Source organism: Homo sapiens, chromosome 9 (assembly GCF_000001405.40).
Source record: "Homo sapiens chromosome 9, GRCh38.p14 Primary Assembly".
NCBI lineage: Eukaryota > Metazoa > Chordata > Mammalia > Primates > Hominidae > Homo > Homo sapiens.
Genome location: NC_000009.12, coordinates 128,077,244 through 128,094,431, shown reverse-complemented (window position 1 = coordinate 128,094,431; position 17,188 = coordinate 128,077,244). Strand labels below are relative to the sequence as shown.

Sequence of the window (17,188 nt, the reverse complement as noted above, 5' to 3'; positions counted from 1 at the left end):
GCAAAATTCTCTGTGCTTCCGAGAAGACAGCCCCTCAGGATTTGAAAGCTTGAATGCCGCTGAGGGCACCTCCCACTCCAGAGTAATGGCTTTCTTCTCCAACTGAAGATTAACTGTAAGACAAAGATAAAGGGAAAAACTGGAACAGTTCCTAGAATAAAAGCTTGCAGGAACCTGACTCACTAGCAGACATATTTAAACAGGGGAAGTGAGAGCAAAACAAAGTAGTGCTTCTGGGACACTGAGAAGCCCGAGAACCAAAGTGAACTTTTCTTTTTTTCTTTTAAACAGAGTCTTGCTCTGTCACCCAGGCTGGAGTACAGCGGCACAATCTTGGCTCACTGCAACCTCCGCCTCCTGGATTCAAGCGATTCTCCTGTCTCAGCCTCCTGAGTAGCTGGGAGTACAGGCACGCACCACCACGCCCAGCTAATTTTTGTATTTTTAGTAGAGACGGGGTTTCACCATATTGGCCAGGCTGGTCTCAAACTCCTGACCTCGTGATCTGTCCACCTCAGACTCCCAAAGTGCTGGGATTACAGGCATGAGCCACTGCGCCTGGCCTAAAGTGAACTTTTCAAAAATGTTTCCAGAACATTCTGGAGGTCCTTTTTGTGATTTGGTGAGGCCAGCCCCAATCAGCCAGTGATCACAAACCCCAAACACCTTCAGAGCACTGTTCTGGAAAAGGATGCGGGCTGCATCCATGTTCCTGTTACTCCAGTTCTTGGTCTATCTGCTTTGAGAGTCTATGCTTCTCAGATTTGCTTTCTCTCTGGCTTCAAGCCCAACCAGCTGCCCCATATCCCACTTGGGGCTCCCCCAGTTTGCAGCCAGCTGAACTGTCTCTCTTTTGGGGATCAGCCAGTAAAAGGTGTGGGTCTCTTGATTCTGCAGGCCAGGAACTAAGCTGTTCAGAACAGACAGTCCTATCCTAGGCAGTCCCTGGGGGGAGAGCTGGCAAGGGGGTACTGTATGATGCTGAAAAATAGAGCAGTTAACTGCTAAAGACAAAAATAGGTGATTTTAAAAGGAGCCGGCCATTCGAGGTAGTAATAAGGCAAGCAGGTCTATAGATAAAAGTTCCTCACAAAGCTAGTGCCACAGCCATTCCAATCTTGTCTAAAACAATCAAAAGGTACAAAGTGACACCCTCTCTTTGAATATTAAGCAAAGACATCTCAGGCATAACAGTCTCTGAGAGACCCACTGCTTTGCTCAGAAGGAACCCATCAAAGACGAAGACTTCTCCCCAGTGCCCACATGACTGCAAATGTTATTACATCAAAAGTCCCTAGTAGCAAAGGCAAAATGAGCTTTTATTTCTTAAATGTAGCAATTCATCTTAACATCTCTGTGGTATCTATAATGTGCCAAACGGGCAGAATCTCCTTTTCTTCTCTGATTTTTCTCCTAAGTAAAAAGATTGAAAATAACCAAAGCTCAGGAGGTGAACGAGGTCACTCCTACAGCAGGGAGGAGAAATCTGAGCCAAGTGGCAATTTCCTTTCTAATACTGAGCACTCCATTAGTCTCCTTAAAAACTGCTTTCCTAAGGGGAAAACGAGGCAGCACAGGACAAGGATTTGGGGGTGAAATCTCAGCTCCACCTCTCTTTAGTTGTTTAACCCTGGGCAAATAATGTAACCATTCTGCACCTCAGTTTCTTCATCTACGAAATGGGGATACTACCACTTACCTTGGCTCTTGTGAGGATGGTAACTCACGCTCTGGGCTCAGGAAGGATGAAAGACCCCACAGTTGGCAGACCCGCAGCGGCCGCAGTCATTTCCAGAGGGGCACCAGCCTCTGCGCCTCATGACTCCAGCCTCTCCTCGGACCCAGTCTCATGCCTTCACTCTTCCTCCCAGACCCAAAGGAGAGATGGGTCGGACCCAGGCAAGGGGACTGTGACCTTCAGGATGCCAAGACCACCCCCACAGCTCCAAGCAACTGGGTTCCACGGTCGAGGCACACTCTCTCGCCCCTTTAGCTTCGCCCTTCCTGAGCTGTTCGGATAAGCTAAGGCACACTTTCACAGGCTGCCCCTCACTTTCAAATGGCTTTCTTCAGCCAAACTAACAAATCCTAAGGCAAGTCTATTGCAACCTTCCTTCCCTCAACAGCCACACTGGGGTGCTCGCAGTGGGTAATGCAGCTTTCACAGGGGCCACAGAAAGATTTTAGATTGCATTTGTGGGCTTCCTCATTGCCTACCACTTCTCCCTGAACCCCGAACTAACGTTGTGAGTTCTCCCTTCCTCCCCACACTCGTTTTTTCCCCAGGAAAATGATCCCAGACCAGGCCCTAAACTAGGAGGTCCTCTTGAGGCCAACATTACCTTAGGAAACTGCTCTGCAGGTCCAACCACCAGCAAAATGGTGGGTCTTTTTTCCGTGGCCTCAGCCCTTCCGTCCTGTTTCCCCAAAAAGCTTGCCATCTGGTCTCTCCAGGCAGGGGCTGGGGTGCCTCTGACTTCACGATCGTCCCCCTCTCTGGAGCCGTGGCACCCAGCCCTGGGGAAAAAGCTAGCTAGGAAATGCCACAGCATCTGCAACATCACGGTCTCCTCCAAACGCCTCTGATGGCGACTGTTCACTTTTGAGGGATGTGACCACAGTACCAACGCTCTCTGGCTACACAGCTGCTGGGAGGACGGGCCTGGGGTTCTCAGGCTGGAAGCTCTGCATGCAGGGGCGGTTTCCTGCTTTTTCAAATGTGCTAGCACTGCTGTCGTGCCCGGCCTGAGAAGTAGCTCACTCTAAGGGAGGCTTGCCAGGCTGCCGGCAATAAGGAGAAAGCAGCTGGAGCTTCTTCAATAAAAACTCACTTCTGCAGGTGATGGTGAGCAAACGTTTGGCTTTTTTTTAAAAAAAAAAAAAAAGAAAAGGAAAACGCGACAGCCAAGCAGACCACTCCCGGAGGCAGCAAGCAACTTCGAGCTCCCAGTTATTCAGCTGTCCTCGCTCATCACCCAAGCCGAGGACCCGAGCATCCAGTCTGCATTCTCACTGCAGCAGAGCCCGGCCAATCACCTCTGCCGACACTACCAAGTTCATTATCCCTACCAGCACCAGCCCTCCAATCACAGGCAGCTGATTGCCTGCATGAAGCCCGGCAATTCTGCAGGGAGGTGCGGACTCAAGCTCCAGATGAGGCTCAGCTTACAGAATCCACTCTGAGCTGGCTCCGTAGCAAAAGTAACTCCCTGCCCTCCACTCGGGTTGCTTCCAGAAGGCATTCACCATCAAGTGCAACACCATCAAGAGTCCTTGGCAGCATGTCCTAAGAGCATTCTAGAAACATTTTTCCTTGTTTCAAGATCCAGTTTTCTCCAGCAGAGCACATGCCACATCACAGCAGCTACTTCTGCTGCGTCTCCCTCCAGAAGATGAGCTGCCTGGGGGCAGGGACCAAGTCACAGACCTTTCTACCCCTAGGACCAGGCACAGATTAAGTCTGTAGACCGAACTGAGTAAAAGGTCATAAATAAAAAGGAATTAATCTATGGTCATTTGTTTCTTAGTTTACTAACAGATAAATGCACTGGCTACTGTCATTCCTCGCTGAGGTGACCCTCTGATAGTGTTCACAACCTTTATTGATTGATTGATTGATTGAGATGGAGTCTCGCTCTGTCATCCAGGCTGGAGCGCAGTGGGTCGCTCTTGGCTCAACGCAACCTCCACCTCCCAGGTTCAAGCGAATTCTCCTGCCTCAGCCTCCCAAGTACCTGGGATTACAGGCACCTGCCACCATGCCTATCTAATGTTTGTATTTTTAGTAGAGACGGGGTTTCACCATGTTGACCAGGCTGGTCTCAAACTCCTGACCTCAAGTGATCCATCCACCTTGGCCTCCCAAAGTGCTGGGATTACAGGAGCGAGCCACCGCGCATGGCCCCACAACCATTATTTTAAAAATACAAACACAAGGCCGGATGTGGTGGCTCATGCCTATAATCCCAGCACTTTGGGAGGCCAAGGCAGGCGGAGTTCAAGACCAGCCTGGCCAACATGGTGAAACCCCGTCTCTACTAAAAATAGAAAAATTAGCCGGGCATGGTGGCAGGCGCCTGTAATCCCAGCTACTTGGGAGGCTGAGGCAGGAGAATCACTTGAACCCAGGAGGCGGAGGTTGCAGTGAGCCAAGATTGCACCATTGCACTCCAGCCTGGGTGACAAGAGCGAAATTTCATCTCAAAAACAAAAAACAAAAAAAAACCAACTTGTTAAATGACAAAGTATAGAAGAAAGGGGATTGTGTGCTGCCATTTATTCCTAGCTTTTATTTGTGAAGACGGCCTCTGGAAAGATAATTAAATTGAAGAGAGGGTGTGGGGCGGGGAGGACACTTGGGGCTTTGAGAGGAGAAAGGCAGATGAGAGACGTGTTTTCACCGAACATCCTCTTATATCTTGCGAAACTGAACCATAAGCATGTATGACCCAGGCATACACACATACACATGTAAATAAAACAATCATTGAAAAAGAAGGCCGAGCGCAGTGGCTTACACCTGTAATTCCAGTACTTTGGGAGATGGAGGTGGGCCAACTGCCTGAGCCGACGAGTCTGAGACCAGCCTGGACAATGTGGAGAAACCTGCCTCTTCAAAAAGTAAAAAAAAAATAGCCAGGCATCGTGGTGCCTGTTGTAGTCCCAGCTACTCAGGAGGCTGAGAGGTGGGAGGATCACTTGAGCATGGGTGGTCAAGGCTGCAGTGAGCCATCATCGTGCCACTGCAGTCCAACCTGGGTGACAGGGAGATCCTGTCTCAAAAAAAAAAAAAAAAAAGACAATCTGGAGAGAAAGTAAGATGGTTGAGATGGGGTCCTAAGGCTTGTTCTGAAAGCTGAAGGAGCCTGTATCAGTTGCCCTCTCACTAGATAAACAGAACTTGTCCAGAAGCAGTTTTGCATGTTGATTAAATGCACAGTCACTGGAGCCAGACCCCAAATTCCAATCCTGGCCATCACTTATTAGCTGTGTAATCTTGGCTAAGATACTTCAGCTCTCTGTGCTTCACTAGCCTTATGTGCAAAATGGAGTTAGTACTTCATAGAATTGGTTAAAGACTAAATTAGAGAATATATAAAGTTCTTAGGACAGTACATGGAGCTATTAGCTATTTTATTATTATTATCTACAAAATGATTGCGATTCATGCAACTAGATCATTTTAATACTAAAGAAGAGCCAGTCCACAGCCAAAAACCCTAAGTAAATAAAAATCCTTTGGCCAGGAGTGGTGGTTCACGTCTGTAATCCCAGCACTTTTGGGAGGCCAAGGCAGGTCTTTTGAGCCCAGAGTTTGAGACCGGCATGGCCAACATAATGTGACTCTGTCTCTACAAAAAAATCAAAAATTAGCTGAGCATGGTGGTGCGCACCTGTAGTCCCAGCTACACGGGAGGCTGAGGTGGGAGAATCACCTGAGCCTGGGAAGTGGAGGCTGCAGCCTGGCTGACAGAGTGAGACCCTGCCTCAAAAATAAATAAATAAATCCTTTAATGAATGTGAGCCCTGTTTTTAGGCACAGAAAGTCTGGCCAGATGGAGGAGATAGTGATGTTTTGGCCTCCCATCTACACACATAAGAGAAATCCCTTATTTAGTAGATTACCGCTTTTTGATTTAATGCACTTCCTCCTACCACAGAACTGAGTTATGAGTTCAAGGGCTTCCGGCAAAGATAGGAGTAACAGGGACTAAGTCACCTTCCTGCCTATAACTACAAGTGCAAACAAAACATAGAAAACAATCTTTCCCAGCCGCTGGACAACAGGCTAAGGACACTGATTCCTGAGAAATGTATACAATGTATACAAACGAAGCCAGGAGCGCCTCCCATTGCCCCAGCTTCCTGCCTGGAGCTTCCAGTCTAGGTGCAGAGCAGAGAAGCCAGGTGGAACCCAGCAGCCTCCTGATGTTCAAGAGATGGGGCTGAGAGGCTGGGGAGGCCAGGCCAGGGCAGCTAGAGTGTGCCAGACAAAGCGCCGGAGAGGAGAGAGCTGCACAGGGAGTGAGCTCCCCCAAGGGTCCCCAGGGAGTCACAGCGCATGGGTGGGAGGAACCTACCTGAGCATGGGGAAAGAACCATCCCAAAGGATTACAGGGCTAGGAATAGTTCCCGTTCCTGTCAGCCAGAGTGGAAAACCTCAGAATACAGGGAGGTTCAGAAAGAGTGCTCAGAGGGTTTTGCCTCTACAGTGAGGCAAAGCCAGCCCTAGGCTAAATGCTGTCCTTGTTCCGCCCAACAAAGCAAGCCCTGCAAGGGTCAAACTACTCCAAGATAAAGCTCAAGAATATTCATAGGAATACACTAATAACCAGCACCCAAGAGGGTAAAATCCAGTAAAAAACGAATAGGAACTACAAAGAAGCAGGAAAAGGTGACCCATAATGAGGACAGAAATCAATAAAGACTGAGCAGAAATGACATGTATGATAGACTTAGTACACAGGGACATTCAAAATTATCATAATTGTACTTCCTATGCACAAGAAAGTAAGGAAAGATCAAGTGTGTCAAGTAGAGACTCCGCAGATTAAAAAGCTCCACCTCAAACTCTAGGTAAAAACTACAATGTCTCAGATGAAAAATGATTTTAACAGATCAGACACTGCAGAAGAAAATATTAATAAACTTGAAGACACAGCAATAGAAGCTTCCTAAAATAAAACACAGAGGAAACAAAACAAACAGAGCACTGGTGAGCGGTGGGATGACCCAAACAGGTTAACACCCATAGCTGGAGTCCATGAAGGAGGGGGCTGAAAAAATAGTTTAAAGAAATAATGGCCAAATATTTCTCCAAATTTATTAAAAGCTACAGATCTACAAATCTAAGATGCTCAACAAACCCTAAGCACAAGAAACATCGAAAAAACGAACTCTGGCACATCACAACTAAATTTCGGAACACCAGTGATAAAGAGGAAATCTTAAAAGCAGACAGAGAAAACAAGACCCATTACATACAGATAAGAATGACTGGGTTCTGGCCAGGCATGGTGGCTCATGCTTGTAGTTCCAGCTACTCAGGAGGCTGAGGCAGGAGAATCGCTTGAACCCAAAAGGCGGAGGTTGCAGTAAGCCGAGACTGCGTCACTGCACCGCACTCCAGACTGGGCGACAGAGTGAGACTCCGTCTCAAAAAATAAAATACAATAAAATAAAAGAATGACTGGGGGCCGGGCGCGGTGGCTCACGCCTGTAATCCCAGCACTTTGGGAGGCTGAGGCTGGCTGCAATGGTGCGATCCCAGCTCACTGTAACCTCTGCCTTCCGGGTTCAAGCAATTCTCCTGCCTCAGACTCCCAAGTAGCTGGGATTACAGGCACCCGCCACCATACCCAGCTAATTTTTGTATTTTTAGTAGAGATGGGGTTTCACCATGTTGGCCAGGCTGGTCTTGAACTCCTGACCTCAGATGATCCACCCACCTCGGCCTCCCAAAGTGTTGGGATTACAGGCATGAGCCACTGCTCCCAGCCTATTTAAGTATCTTTAAAAGATAAGTGACTATTTAAAGCAAAAATAAAACAATACACTGTGGGTTTATAACGTGTGTAACAGTAAAATGCATGAGGACCACAGCTCAAAGGCTGGGAGGATAGAAATCAAAGTATACTGTTTAAGATTCTAAAACTAGGCCAGGTATGGTGGCTCTCACCTGTAATCCCAGCACTTTGGGAGGCTGAGGCGGGAGGATTGCTTGAAGTCAGGAGTTTCAGACCAGCCTGGGAAACAAAGTAAGACCCTGTCTCTAGAAAATATACAAAAATTAGCCAAGTGGCCAGGCACAGTGGCTCACGCCTGTAATCTCAGCACTTTGGGAGGCCGAGGCGGGTGGATCACATGAGGTCGGGAGTTCGAGACCAGCCTCACCAACATGGAGAAAACCTGTCTCTACTAAAAATACAAAATTAGCCGGGTGTGGTGGCACATGCCTATAATCCCAGCTACTTTGGAGGCTGAGGCAGAAGAATTGCTTGAACCTGGGAGGTGGAGGTTGCGGTGCGCTGAGATCGCGCCATTGCACTCCAGCCTGGGCAACAAGGGCAAAACTCTGTCTCAAAAAAAAAAAAAAAAAAAAAATTAGCCGAGTATAGTGGCTCACACCTGTAGTCCTAGGTACTCGGGAGGGTAAGGCAGGAGGATTGCTTGAGCCCACAAGTTCAAGGTTGCAGTGAGATATGATCACACCACACATTCTAGCCTGGGCAACAGAGTGAGATCTTGTCTAAAAAAAAACAACAACAAAAACAAACACCCAACTTGACCACACTGACATTTACAAAATACTCCACCCAACAACAGCAGAATACACATTCTTTTCAAGTGCACTCAGAACATATTCCACCCATAAAACAAGTCAACTCATACAAAGTATGTACTTTGACCACAGTGGAATTAAATTGGAAAAAAATGACAGGTACGCACCTGTAGTTCCTGCTACTAGGGAGGCTGAGGTGGGAGGATCGCTTGAGGCCAGGAGTTCAAGACCAGCCTGGGCAACATAGCAAAATCCAGTCTCTTAAGAAAAAAAAGATATTTGGAAAATACCTAAATATTTGGAAATTAAATAATACAACTGTAAATGATTCACGTGATATGTCAAAGGAGAAATCAAAAAGGAAATTAGAAAGTATTTTGAATGGTGAGAAAGCACAATGTATTAAAATTTGTAGGATGCAGCCGCAGCAGTACTTAGAAGGAAATACCTATATTAGAAAGGAAAGGTCTCAAAATCAGTGACTTCAGTTTCCACCCTAAGAGATCAGAAAAGAACAAATTAAATGCAAAGCAAGCAGAAGAAAAAAATAATAAACTAGGTGTTAGCGATCATGCCTTATTTATCTTAAACTTCCCTAGACCAGCACCTAAGACAGGAATCGATGGAAATGTGTTCAATTGAATACCTTGCCTATATGTGTTTAAATATATATATTGCATATATGCAAAGATAGGGTCTTGCCATGTTGCCCAGGCTGGTCTTGAACTCCTGGGCTCAAGTGATCCTCCCATCCTGGCCTCCTCACCTTGGATTACAGATGTGAGCCACCACACCTGTTCCAATTCTTTTTTTTTTTTTGAGACGGAGTTTTGCTCCTGTTGCCCAGGCTGGAGTGCAGTGGTGTGATCTTGGTTCACTACAACCTCCGCCTCCTGGCTTCAAGTGATTCTCCTGCCTCAGCCTCCCGAGTAGCTGGGACTACAGGCGCCCGCCACCACACCCAGCTAATTTTTATATTTTTAGTAGAGACGGGGGTTTCACCATGTTGGCCAGGATGGTCTTGAGCTCTCGACCTCAAGTGATCCTCCCACCTTGGCCTCCCAAAGTACTGGGATTACAGGTGTGAGCCACTCTGCCCGGCCCAATATATATTTTTTAAAACATTTTTCTTGCGTCTTTGATTTCCTTGTAGGTTAATATAGTACATTTCTTTCCTTTCACATGTAGCTTTCTTGGGTAGGATGAATCACCCATATCCAAGGATAGACTGCCAAGTGTAACCCTCTTGTAAAAGTAGCTTATAAACATCAATAGAATCTGGTTAAGAGGAGGTTAATACCTGCAGAAATAACCACTGTTCTAAGAATCTAGACAATAGAGGCTGATGGTGTCAATGAAAAGAATCGAATTCTGTAAAATATTTAAAGAGGTTTATTGTGAGCCAAATATAAGTGACCAAGGCCCATGATACAGCCCCAGGAGGTCCTGAGAACATGAGCCCAAGGTGGCTGGGTGACAGGTTGATTTATACATTTTAGGGGGACAGAAGTTACAAGAAGACATCAGTCAATACATGTAAGGTGTACACATTGGTTCAGCCCGGTAAGGTGGGACAACTTGAAGGCGGGGGCTTCCAGATCATAGGTGGGTTCAAAGATTTTCTGATTGGAAATTGGGGTTGAAAGGGTTATTATCTAAAAACCTGGAATCAATAAAAAGGAGTGTCAGGCCAGGCGCGGTGGCTCACGCCTGTAATCCCAGCACTTTGGGAGGCCGAGGTGGGCGCCTGGAAACCCAGCTACTCGGGAGGCTGAAGCAGGAGAATCGCTTGAACCCAGGAGGCGGAGGTTGCAGTAAGCCGAGATCGCGCCACTGCACTCCAGCCTGGGCAACAGAGTGAGACTGTATCAAAAAAAAAAAAAAAAAAAATCTGTTTTAATGTTAATGCTGGTCGGTTGTGCCTGAATTGCAGAGAGGAGGGTATAATTAGGCATGTCCCTCCCTTCCCATCATGGCCTGAATTAGTTTTTCGCGTTTACTTGGAATGCCCTTAGCACCCTGAGGTCCATTCAGTTGGTTGGTGGGGCTTAGAATGGGTACTTTTCAGAGAACAGTAATGGAATACACCTCTAGAGGGAAGTAGTGAGTCGAATCATGGGCACTTGACTTATTCCAAATTACCCTGATAAAATGCCCAGAGTATAAAGGAGCCTGGAGCACCACACACAAAGACAATTGGAGATGCCCAAGGGAGTCTTAGAAGAACAACGCAGAAAGCGAGTTCTCAGGACTGACCAACTCCACGGCAATCTCCAGGTCTCATCACCTCCTTGCTTAACTGCCTAGTACCTATCTTAGAAATATTAACACTCAGCCGGGCACGGTGGCTCACGCCTGTAATCCCAGCACTTTGGGAGGCCGAGGCGGGCGGATCATAAGGTCAGGAGATAGAGGCCATCCTGGCTAACACGGTGAAACCCCATCTTTACTAAAAATACAAAAAAAAAAAAAAATTCGCTGGGCGTGGTGTTGGGTGCCTGTAGTCCCAGCTACTCGGGATGCTGAGGCAGGAGAATGGCGTAAGCCCGGGAGGCGGAGCTTGCAGTGAGCGGAGATCGCGCCACTGCACTCCAGCCTAGGCGACAGAGCAAGACTTCATCTCAAAAAAAAAAAAAAGAAAAAAGAAAAAAAAAAGAAATATTAACACTCAGAAGCCATGAGAGGGAAGAGTAGTAACACTTTTTAGAAAGTTAACAGATGAAGCGAGATTTTATTTGACAGAAAGTCAGAATGATTAGGCTGATTGATTTGATGAGGACTGGCACAGCCAATATGGTCATATAAAAGGCCTTTTCCATAAATTAAATGAGTCATATATGCAGCTCTAAGATTTTGGCCAAAACCAGAACCCAAACCAAAACAAACAAAAAAAAACACTTTTATTTATTTATTTTTTTTTTTTGAGACGGAGTCTCACTCTGTCACCTAGGCTGGAGTGCAATGGTACTATCTCGGCTCACGGCAACCTCCACCTCCCGGGTTCAAGCAATACTTCTGCCTCAGCCTCCTGAGTAGCTGGGACTACAGGCGCCCGCCACAATGCCCGGCTAATTTTTGTATTTTTTAGTAGAGATGGAGTTTCACCATGTTGGCCAGGCTGGTCTTGAACTCCTGACCTTGTGATCTGCCCGCTTCAGCCTCCCAGAATGCTGGGATTACAGGCTGAGCCACTGCGCCCGGCCTCAAACAAAAACATGTAAAGCAGATGTACAGGCCGGGCGTGGTGTCTCACACCTGTAATCCCAGCACTTTGGAGGCGGAGGTGGGTGGATCACCTGAGACCAGCCTGGCCAACATGGTGAAACCCCATCTCTACTAAAAATACAAAAATTAGCCAGGCGTGGTGATTCTAGCTACTTGGGAGGTTGAGGCAGGAGAATCCCTTGAATCCGGGAGGCGGAGGTTGCAGTGAGCCAAGATTGCGCCACTGCACTCTAGCCTGGGCAAAGAGCGAGACTGTCTTAAAATAAAATAAAATAAAAATAATAAAGCAGATGTACAAAATGTGCAAGGGGATATGCTGTTTTCAAAATTATTTTTGGGTGGTACAGGAGTCAAGAGTTTGAAGACTCTCTTTTATATACTGATATATGGCAGTGCCAGGCTATTCCAGAGGCAGGACTGTAGCAGGTGAATGTCAGTCTCCGCTGGAATGAACCAATCAGCCAACGGAAAAACTCAGCTCCTATGTGCTGCCTGCGCTGGGCGGCTGGAGTTTCAGGCTGTAAGGCAGGACTCTTAAACGCCCACCTGATGTGACTCAGCAACAATTGGACAATGAAGAGGAGCCACAACTCACCTCATTTGGCACAAATGAAACTAAGGTATGGCAGATGACAGAACTGCAATAATGAAAAAAGGAAATCCATGATCTATTTCCATTTTAGGAAACAGAACCGGAAAATCTAGCTTTGACAAAAACTCCCTAAAGAAAACTCCTGTAACTGTGGAAGGAAAAGAGAAGTCCGGCATGAAAACCCTCAGTCTTGTGGATGGCTTCTGTTTACTCCTGGTGAAAAGCCAGTCCCCTTCGAGGTCCCAAGTTCAAGGTGAATGCATATTAAAGATGTCTTTTTCTTTTCTCTACAAGAAAGTTAGAGGCATACAAAATTTACCCAACTCTTAAGTGTAGGATTTTAAGATGTAACAAGTCAAGTTCTACAGAAGCAAGGGTCTGCTTGGAAATATGGGATTTCTACTTTATTTTTTTTGAGACAGGGTCTGGCTCTGCTGCCCAGACTGGAGTGCAGGTATGATCATGGCTCACTGCAGCCTCAACCTCCCAGGCTCAAGGGATCTTCCCACCTCAACCTCCCAAGTAGCTGGGACCACAGGCATGCCTGGCTAATTTTTTAAAATTTTTTGTAGAGATTGGGTCTCCCTATGTTGCCCAGACTGGTCTCGAACTCCTGGCCTCAAGCAATCCTCCCACCTCAGCCTCCCAAAGTGCTGGGAGTACAGGCATGAGCCACCGTGCCCGGCCTAATTTCTCTTCTTTTTCTGCTCTTATAAGAGCATGATTCTCCTTTAGATTAGACATGTGCACCAAGAGTAAGGAGCAGGGGGTGAATATGGTATGGAGGCCAGCATGTGACAACCCAATCACCTAAAATGTTCAAAAAATTTTGAAGCAACCCAACACTGGCCAGTGGGAGCCACACAATTCGTCCATGTGAGCCTACTTGTTGTACCCACCCTGTCCTTATCCTCTCCTTTCCTTCTCCCACGTGAAAAAGCAAACCAACAAATTTATTACTAAAGCAACATAAAATGTTTTTAGTTTCTGAAAACAGATCTCAGGATTGCACTCACACTGAGATGATCTGACTCAACACAAACTTAACTCTCACCAGCTGCTTGCTCTGCTTTGCACAAGGACTGCAGGCAGGAGAGAGGTCAAGGGGGTGAAACCCTCCCTGGGCTGCCTTACACGCAGCACAGCTGTTCAGGGTGGGAGGGCAACTGGATGAATGCCGGCTAATAGCTGGTTTAAACCAAGCCAGCTCTCCTAAACAATTCAGAAAAGGAATTCTTTAGCTATAGAACTATCTACCTTTAGATCCTATTTTTCCTTCTTCTGTAGGTTAGAGAGGAAGAGACTCTGGCAAACAAAAAATACACCCAAGTCGTGAATGAAAAAAGGAAAAAAGTTAACTGTGTCCATAAATGCATCACTAAGGGGTGCTGAGGAACCTTGTCTTTCTCCCTAAGATCCCCCCTACAATGCCTTTATAGGACACTGGACAAATTGCTTAACTTCTCCAGCCTGTAAAATGTGGGGAGTGAACTGAACAACCTTGAAAACGCTCCAGTTCTAACATTATATGGATTCCAACTCAATCTAAAGGCCTTAACCAAAAGCAACAACAGGGTTTTGGGCAAGTGGGATAGAAAAGGCCAACAATGGCTGGGGGTGGTGGCTCACGCCTGTAATCCCAGCACTTTGGGAGGCCGAGGTGGGTGGATCACCTGAGGTTGGGAGTTCGAGACCAGCCTGGCCAGCATGGTGAAACCTCATCTCTATTAAAAATACAAAAAAAAAATTAGCCGGGCACGGTGGCGCATGCCTGTAATCCCAGCTACTCCATGCCTCCATGCACTCCAGCCTGGGCAATGAGAGCAAAACTCCGTCTCAAAAAAAAAAAAAAGCCCAACAAGGTTGATGAAGGTGTGTACCATAGCTGGTTTTAACCAACAGGACCATTCCACTGTGTCCTATCTACTCTACAGATAAGGACTTAACAGACAGTTGGTTCTTTTTTTTTTTTTTTTTTTTTTTTGGGATGGAGTCTTGCTCTGTCACCCAGGCAGAAGTGCAGTGGCACGATCTCAGCTCACTGCAACCTCCACCTCCTGGGTTTTTTGTGGGTTTTTTTTTTGTTTTTTTGTTTTTTTTTTTTAGATGGGGTATCACTCTGTTGCCCCGACTGGAGTGCAGTGGCGTGATCTCGGCTCACTGCAACCTCCACCTCCCAGGTTCAAGTGATTCACCTGCCTCAGCTTCCCAAAGTGCTGGGATTACAGGCATAAGCCACCATGCCCGGCCCCTCCTGAGTTTTTTTAAGCGATTCTCCTGCCTCAGCCTCCCCAGTAGCTGGGATTACAAGCACGCACCACCAGGACCAGCTAATTTTTTTTTTGAGAGGGAGTCTCGCTCTGTCAGCAGGCTGGAGAGCAGTGGCACGATCTGGGCTGCCTGCAACCTCTGTTTCCCAGGTTCAAGCGATTCTCCTGCCTCAGCCTCCCGAGTAGCTGGGACTACAGGCGTGCACCACCATACCCGGCTAATTTTTGTATTTTTAATAGAGACGGGGTTTCACCATGTTGGCCAGGATGGTCTCAATCTCTTGACCTCGTGATCCGCCCGCCTCGGCCTCCCAAAGTGCTGGGATTACAGGCGTGAGCCACCGCGCCTGGCCCCTCCTGGGTTTTTTAAGCAATTCTCCTACCTCAGCCTCCCCAGTAGCTGGGATTACAGGCATGCGCCACCAGGCCCGGCTAATTTTTTTTTTTTTTTTTTTTTTTTGTATTTTTAGTAGAGACAAGGTTTTGCCAGTTGGCCAGGCTGGTCTCGAACTCCTGACCTCAAGTGATCCACCTGCCTTGGCCTCACAAAGTGCTGGGATTACAGGCGTGAGCCACAACGCCCAGCCAGTTGGTTCTTATTCTTGGTGATCTAAACTACCCTCTCTCCACCCTTTTTTTTTTTTTTTTTTTTTTGGCATCAGCAGCATTTCAATCAATGGTTTTTGAGAGTCTTCTTACACAATGTAGGCGGTTCTGTGTTTTGGAAGAAGTGTCACATTAGACTCCAGCCAACAGGGAGGGAGGACAGGAGGAAAGGTATGGAGCCAGAGTGTGATGGAACAACACTGAAAGCTTCAGGCACCGGCAGGAACAGGGACAGCCACCTCTCCAGTTTCCCCACTGACCCTGCAGAAAATGAGTCATGATTTATCTCCTCAAACTTCCTGGAAAAGCCAGCCAAGAGCTTAAAGTAGATAAGAAGCTCCTTATGGCCTACCTTTGTTATTCATTTACTTTAAAGGAAGATGCATCTTTAAGACAACAGCTTCTTTTGTCAGGTGTGGTGTTGAGTCTTTTATATCCCGTATTAGGAACAGTGTACCTATCATTTTAGTCACGGCTTCCTGTGCACCACCAGGGCCTTAAAATGCTGAGACAGAGTTATGCACAGGTATGTCAATGTCATAAACTATGAAAATAAATGTGGCCAAGTTTTAAAGGCAAGTTAAGTGTCCACAGTCAAAGAAGGAAGGCGGCACTGCATTGAGCTAAATGGGGCAGAGTCAAAATCCTGGGTTCTGGAACTGGCTTGGCCTCCAAGCAACCCAGCCTCCGAGCCTTAGTCCCACTTCTGCAAAGTAATGCTGGTTAGTGAGATAATCTCCAAAGCTTTGAAGTAAGCTCCACTTGAGCTTCCACTTTCACAACTTCAAGGTCAACTCTGTACTTAGGAAAGACGATCCACGGCTTCTGAGAGGGCAACAGGCTTGCAAGATGAGGAGGTCCGGTTTCTGTCCAGGGAAAGCATGCGGGCCCCAAAGACGTCTTTTTGTGTAGATAGAGTGAGTGAGTCTACTACAACTTTTTATTGTTTCTTTGCTCATTTTGATGTCCACAGAGCCCAGGTTTTCCACAGCGGACATCCCCTTCCACACCACGGAAGCTTCTCCCTCTCCAGGTTGCTGGGGTGGGGCTATGTCTCCCTGGGTGCCACACACCCTTTAATGCTGATGTCCCCAGGCTTTGCCCTCCCTTGCCTTTCGCTTTTCACCTAAGCAAACTAGGGGCAAAATATAGGTGATTCTGACCAATTCTGGGCACCTTATTTTCAAAGAACCAATGGGGAAGTCACTTGGTGAATATGTGCCAGACCCAGTCCTGGGCTCTTTCTATGCTTTATCTAATTTAACCCACACACCCCCCTTATGCAGTAGGTCCTCATACCAACAAGTTTCTGATAAGGAAACAGACTTGGAGAGGGTGAGTCATTTGTTCAAGGTCACTCAGCTAGCAAGCAGCAGAAGGAACATTTGAACCCAGGTCTCATACCATACAAATCACCCTTTTTTTTTTTTTTGAGACAGAGTCTCACTCTGTTGACCAGACTGGAGTGCAGTGGCGCAGTCTCGGTTCACTGCAACCTCCAACTCCCAGGTTCAAGCAATTTTCCTGCCTCAGCCTCCCGAGTAGCTGGGATTACAGATGTGTGCCACCATGCTCGGCTAATTTTTGTATTTTTAGTAGAGCTGGGGTTTCTACATGTTGGCCAGGCTGGTCTCGAACTCCTGACCAGCCTCCCAAAGTGCTGGGATTACAGGCATGAGCCACCCATTTAAAGTATACAGTTCAGTGGTTCTCAGTATCTTCACGGATATGTGCAACCATCACTCCAGTCAACTTGAGAATATTTCCAACACCTCAAAAAGAAACCTCATCTCACCTTCCTATCTCTCTACCCGCCAGTACCCCACTCCCAGGTAGGCAAGTACTACTCAATTTTCTGTCTCTGTAGACTTCTCCATTCTGGACTTTCACCTAAATGGATCATACAGTGCATGATCTTTGCGACTGGCTTTTTTTTTTTTTAAGACGGAGTCTTGCTCTGTCGCCCAGGCTGGAGTGCAGTGGCGCGATCTCGGCTCACTGCAAGCTCCGCCTCCCGGGTTCACGCCATTCTCCTGCCTCAGCCTCCCGAGTTGCTGGGACCACAGGCGCCCGCCACCGCGCCCGGCTAATTTTTTTTGTATTTTTAGTAGAGACGGGGTTTCACCGTGGTATCGATCCCCTGACCTCGTGATCCACCCGACTTGGCCTCCCAAAGTGCTGGGATTACAGGCGTGAGCCACCGCGCCCGGCCGC

The 17,188-nt window shown here is 47.1% G+C and overlaps 1 protein-coding gene across 4 annotated transcripts in view, besides 3 other annotated features; it reads right to left on the bottom strand.

Moving 5' to 3' along the window:
* The window catches only part of SLC25A25 (solute carrier family 25 member 25), a 41,014-nt gene that overhangs the window by 14,814 nt on the left and 9,012 nt on the right, over window positions 1–17,188 (bottom strand). For 2 of the 4 annotated variants that reach the window (NM_001265614.3, NM_001006642.4), the window contains exon 1: window positions 2,343–2,977. The exons of the other annotated variants lie outside the window; for them this stretch is intronic. In NM_001265614.3, the coding sequence (NP_001252543.1) occupies window positions 2,343–2,561 (219 nt within the window). In that variant the 5' untranslated portion in view covers window positions 2,562–2,977. Of the gene's footprint in view, window positions 1–2,342; window positions 2,978–17,188 lie in introns of those variants that run through there. 4 annotated transcript variants of the gene reach the window in all.
* Window positions 1,961–2,481: an enhancer, noted in NCBI's record as "H3K27ac hESC enhancer chr9:130854230-130854750 (GRCh37/hg19 assembly coordinates)". NCBI's record gives its function as "activates a minimal SCP1, AML or CMV promoter by ChIP-STARR-seq in naive H9 embryonic stem cells {active_cell/tissue: H9 hESC(naive)}" and the evidence as "EXISTENCE:reporter gene assay evidence [ECO:0000049][PMID:30033119]".
* Window positions 2,482–3,002: an enhancer, noted in NCBI's record as "H3K27ac-H3K4me1 hESC enhancer chr9:130853709-130854229 (GRCh37/hg19 assembly coordinates)". NCBI's record gives its function as "activates a minimal SCP1, AML or CMV promoter by ChIP-STARR-seq in naive H9 embryonic stem cells {active_cell/tissue: H9 hESC(naive)}" and the evidence as "EXISTENCE:reporter gene assay evidence [ECO:0000049][PMID:30033119]".
* Window positions 6,828–7,122: a silencer, noted in NCBI's record as "tiled region #4771; HepG2 Repressive non-DNase unmatched - State 23:Low". NCBI's record gives its function as "represses a minimal TATA promoter and a strong SV40 promoter by Sharpr-MPRA in HepG2 cells {active_cell/tissue: HepG2}" and the evidence as "EXISTENCE:reporter gene assay evidence [ECO:0000049][PMID:27701403]".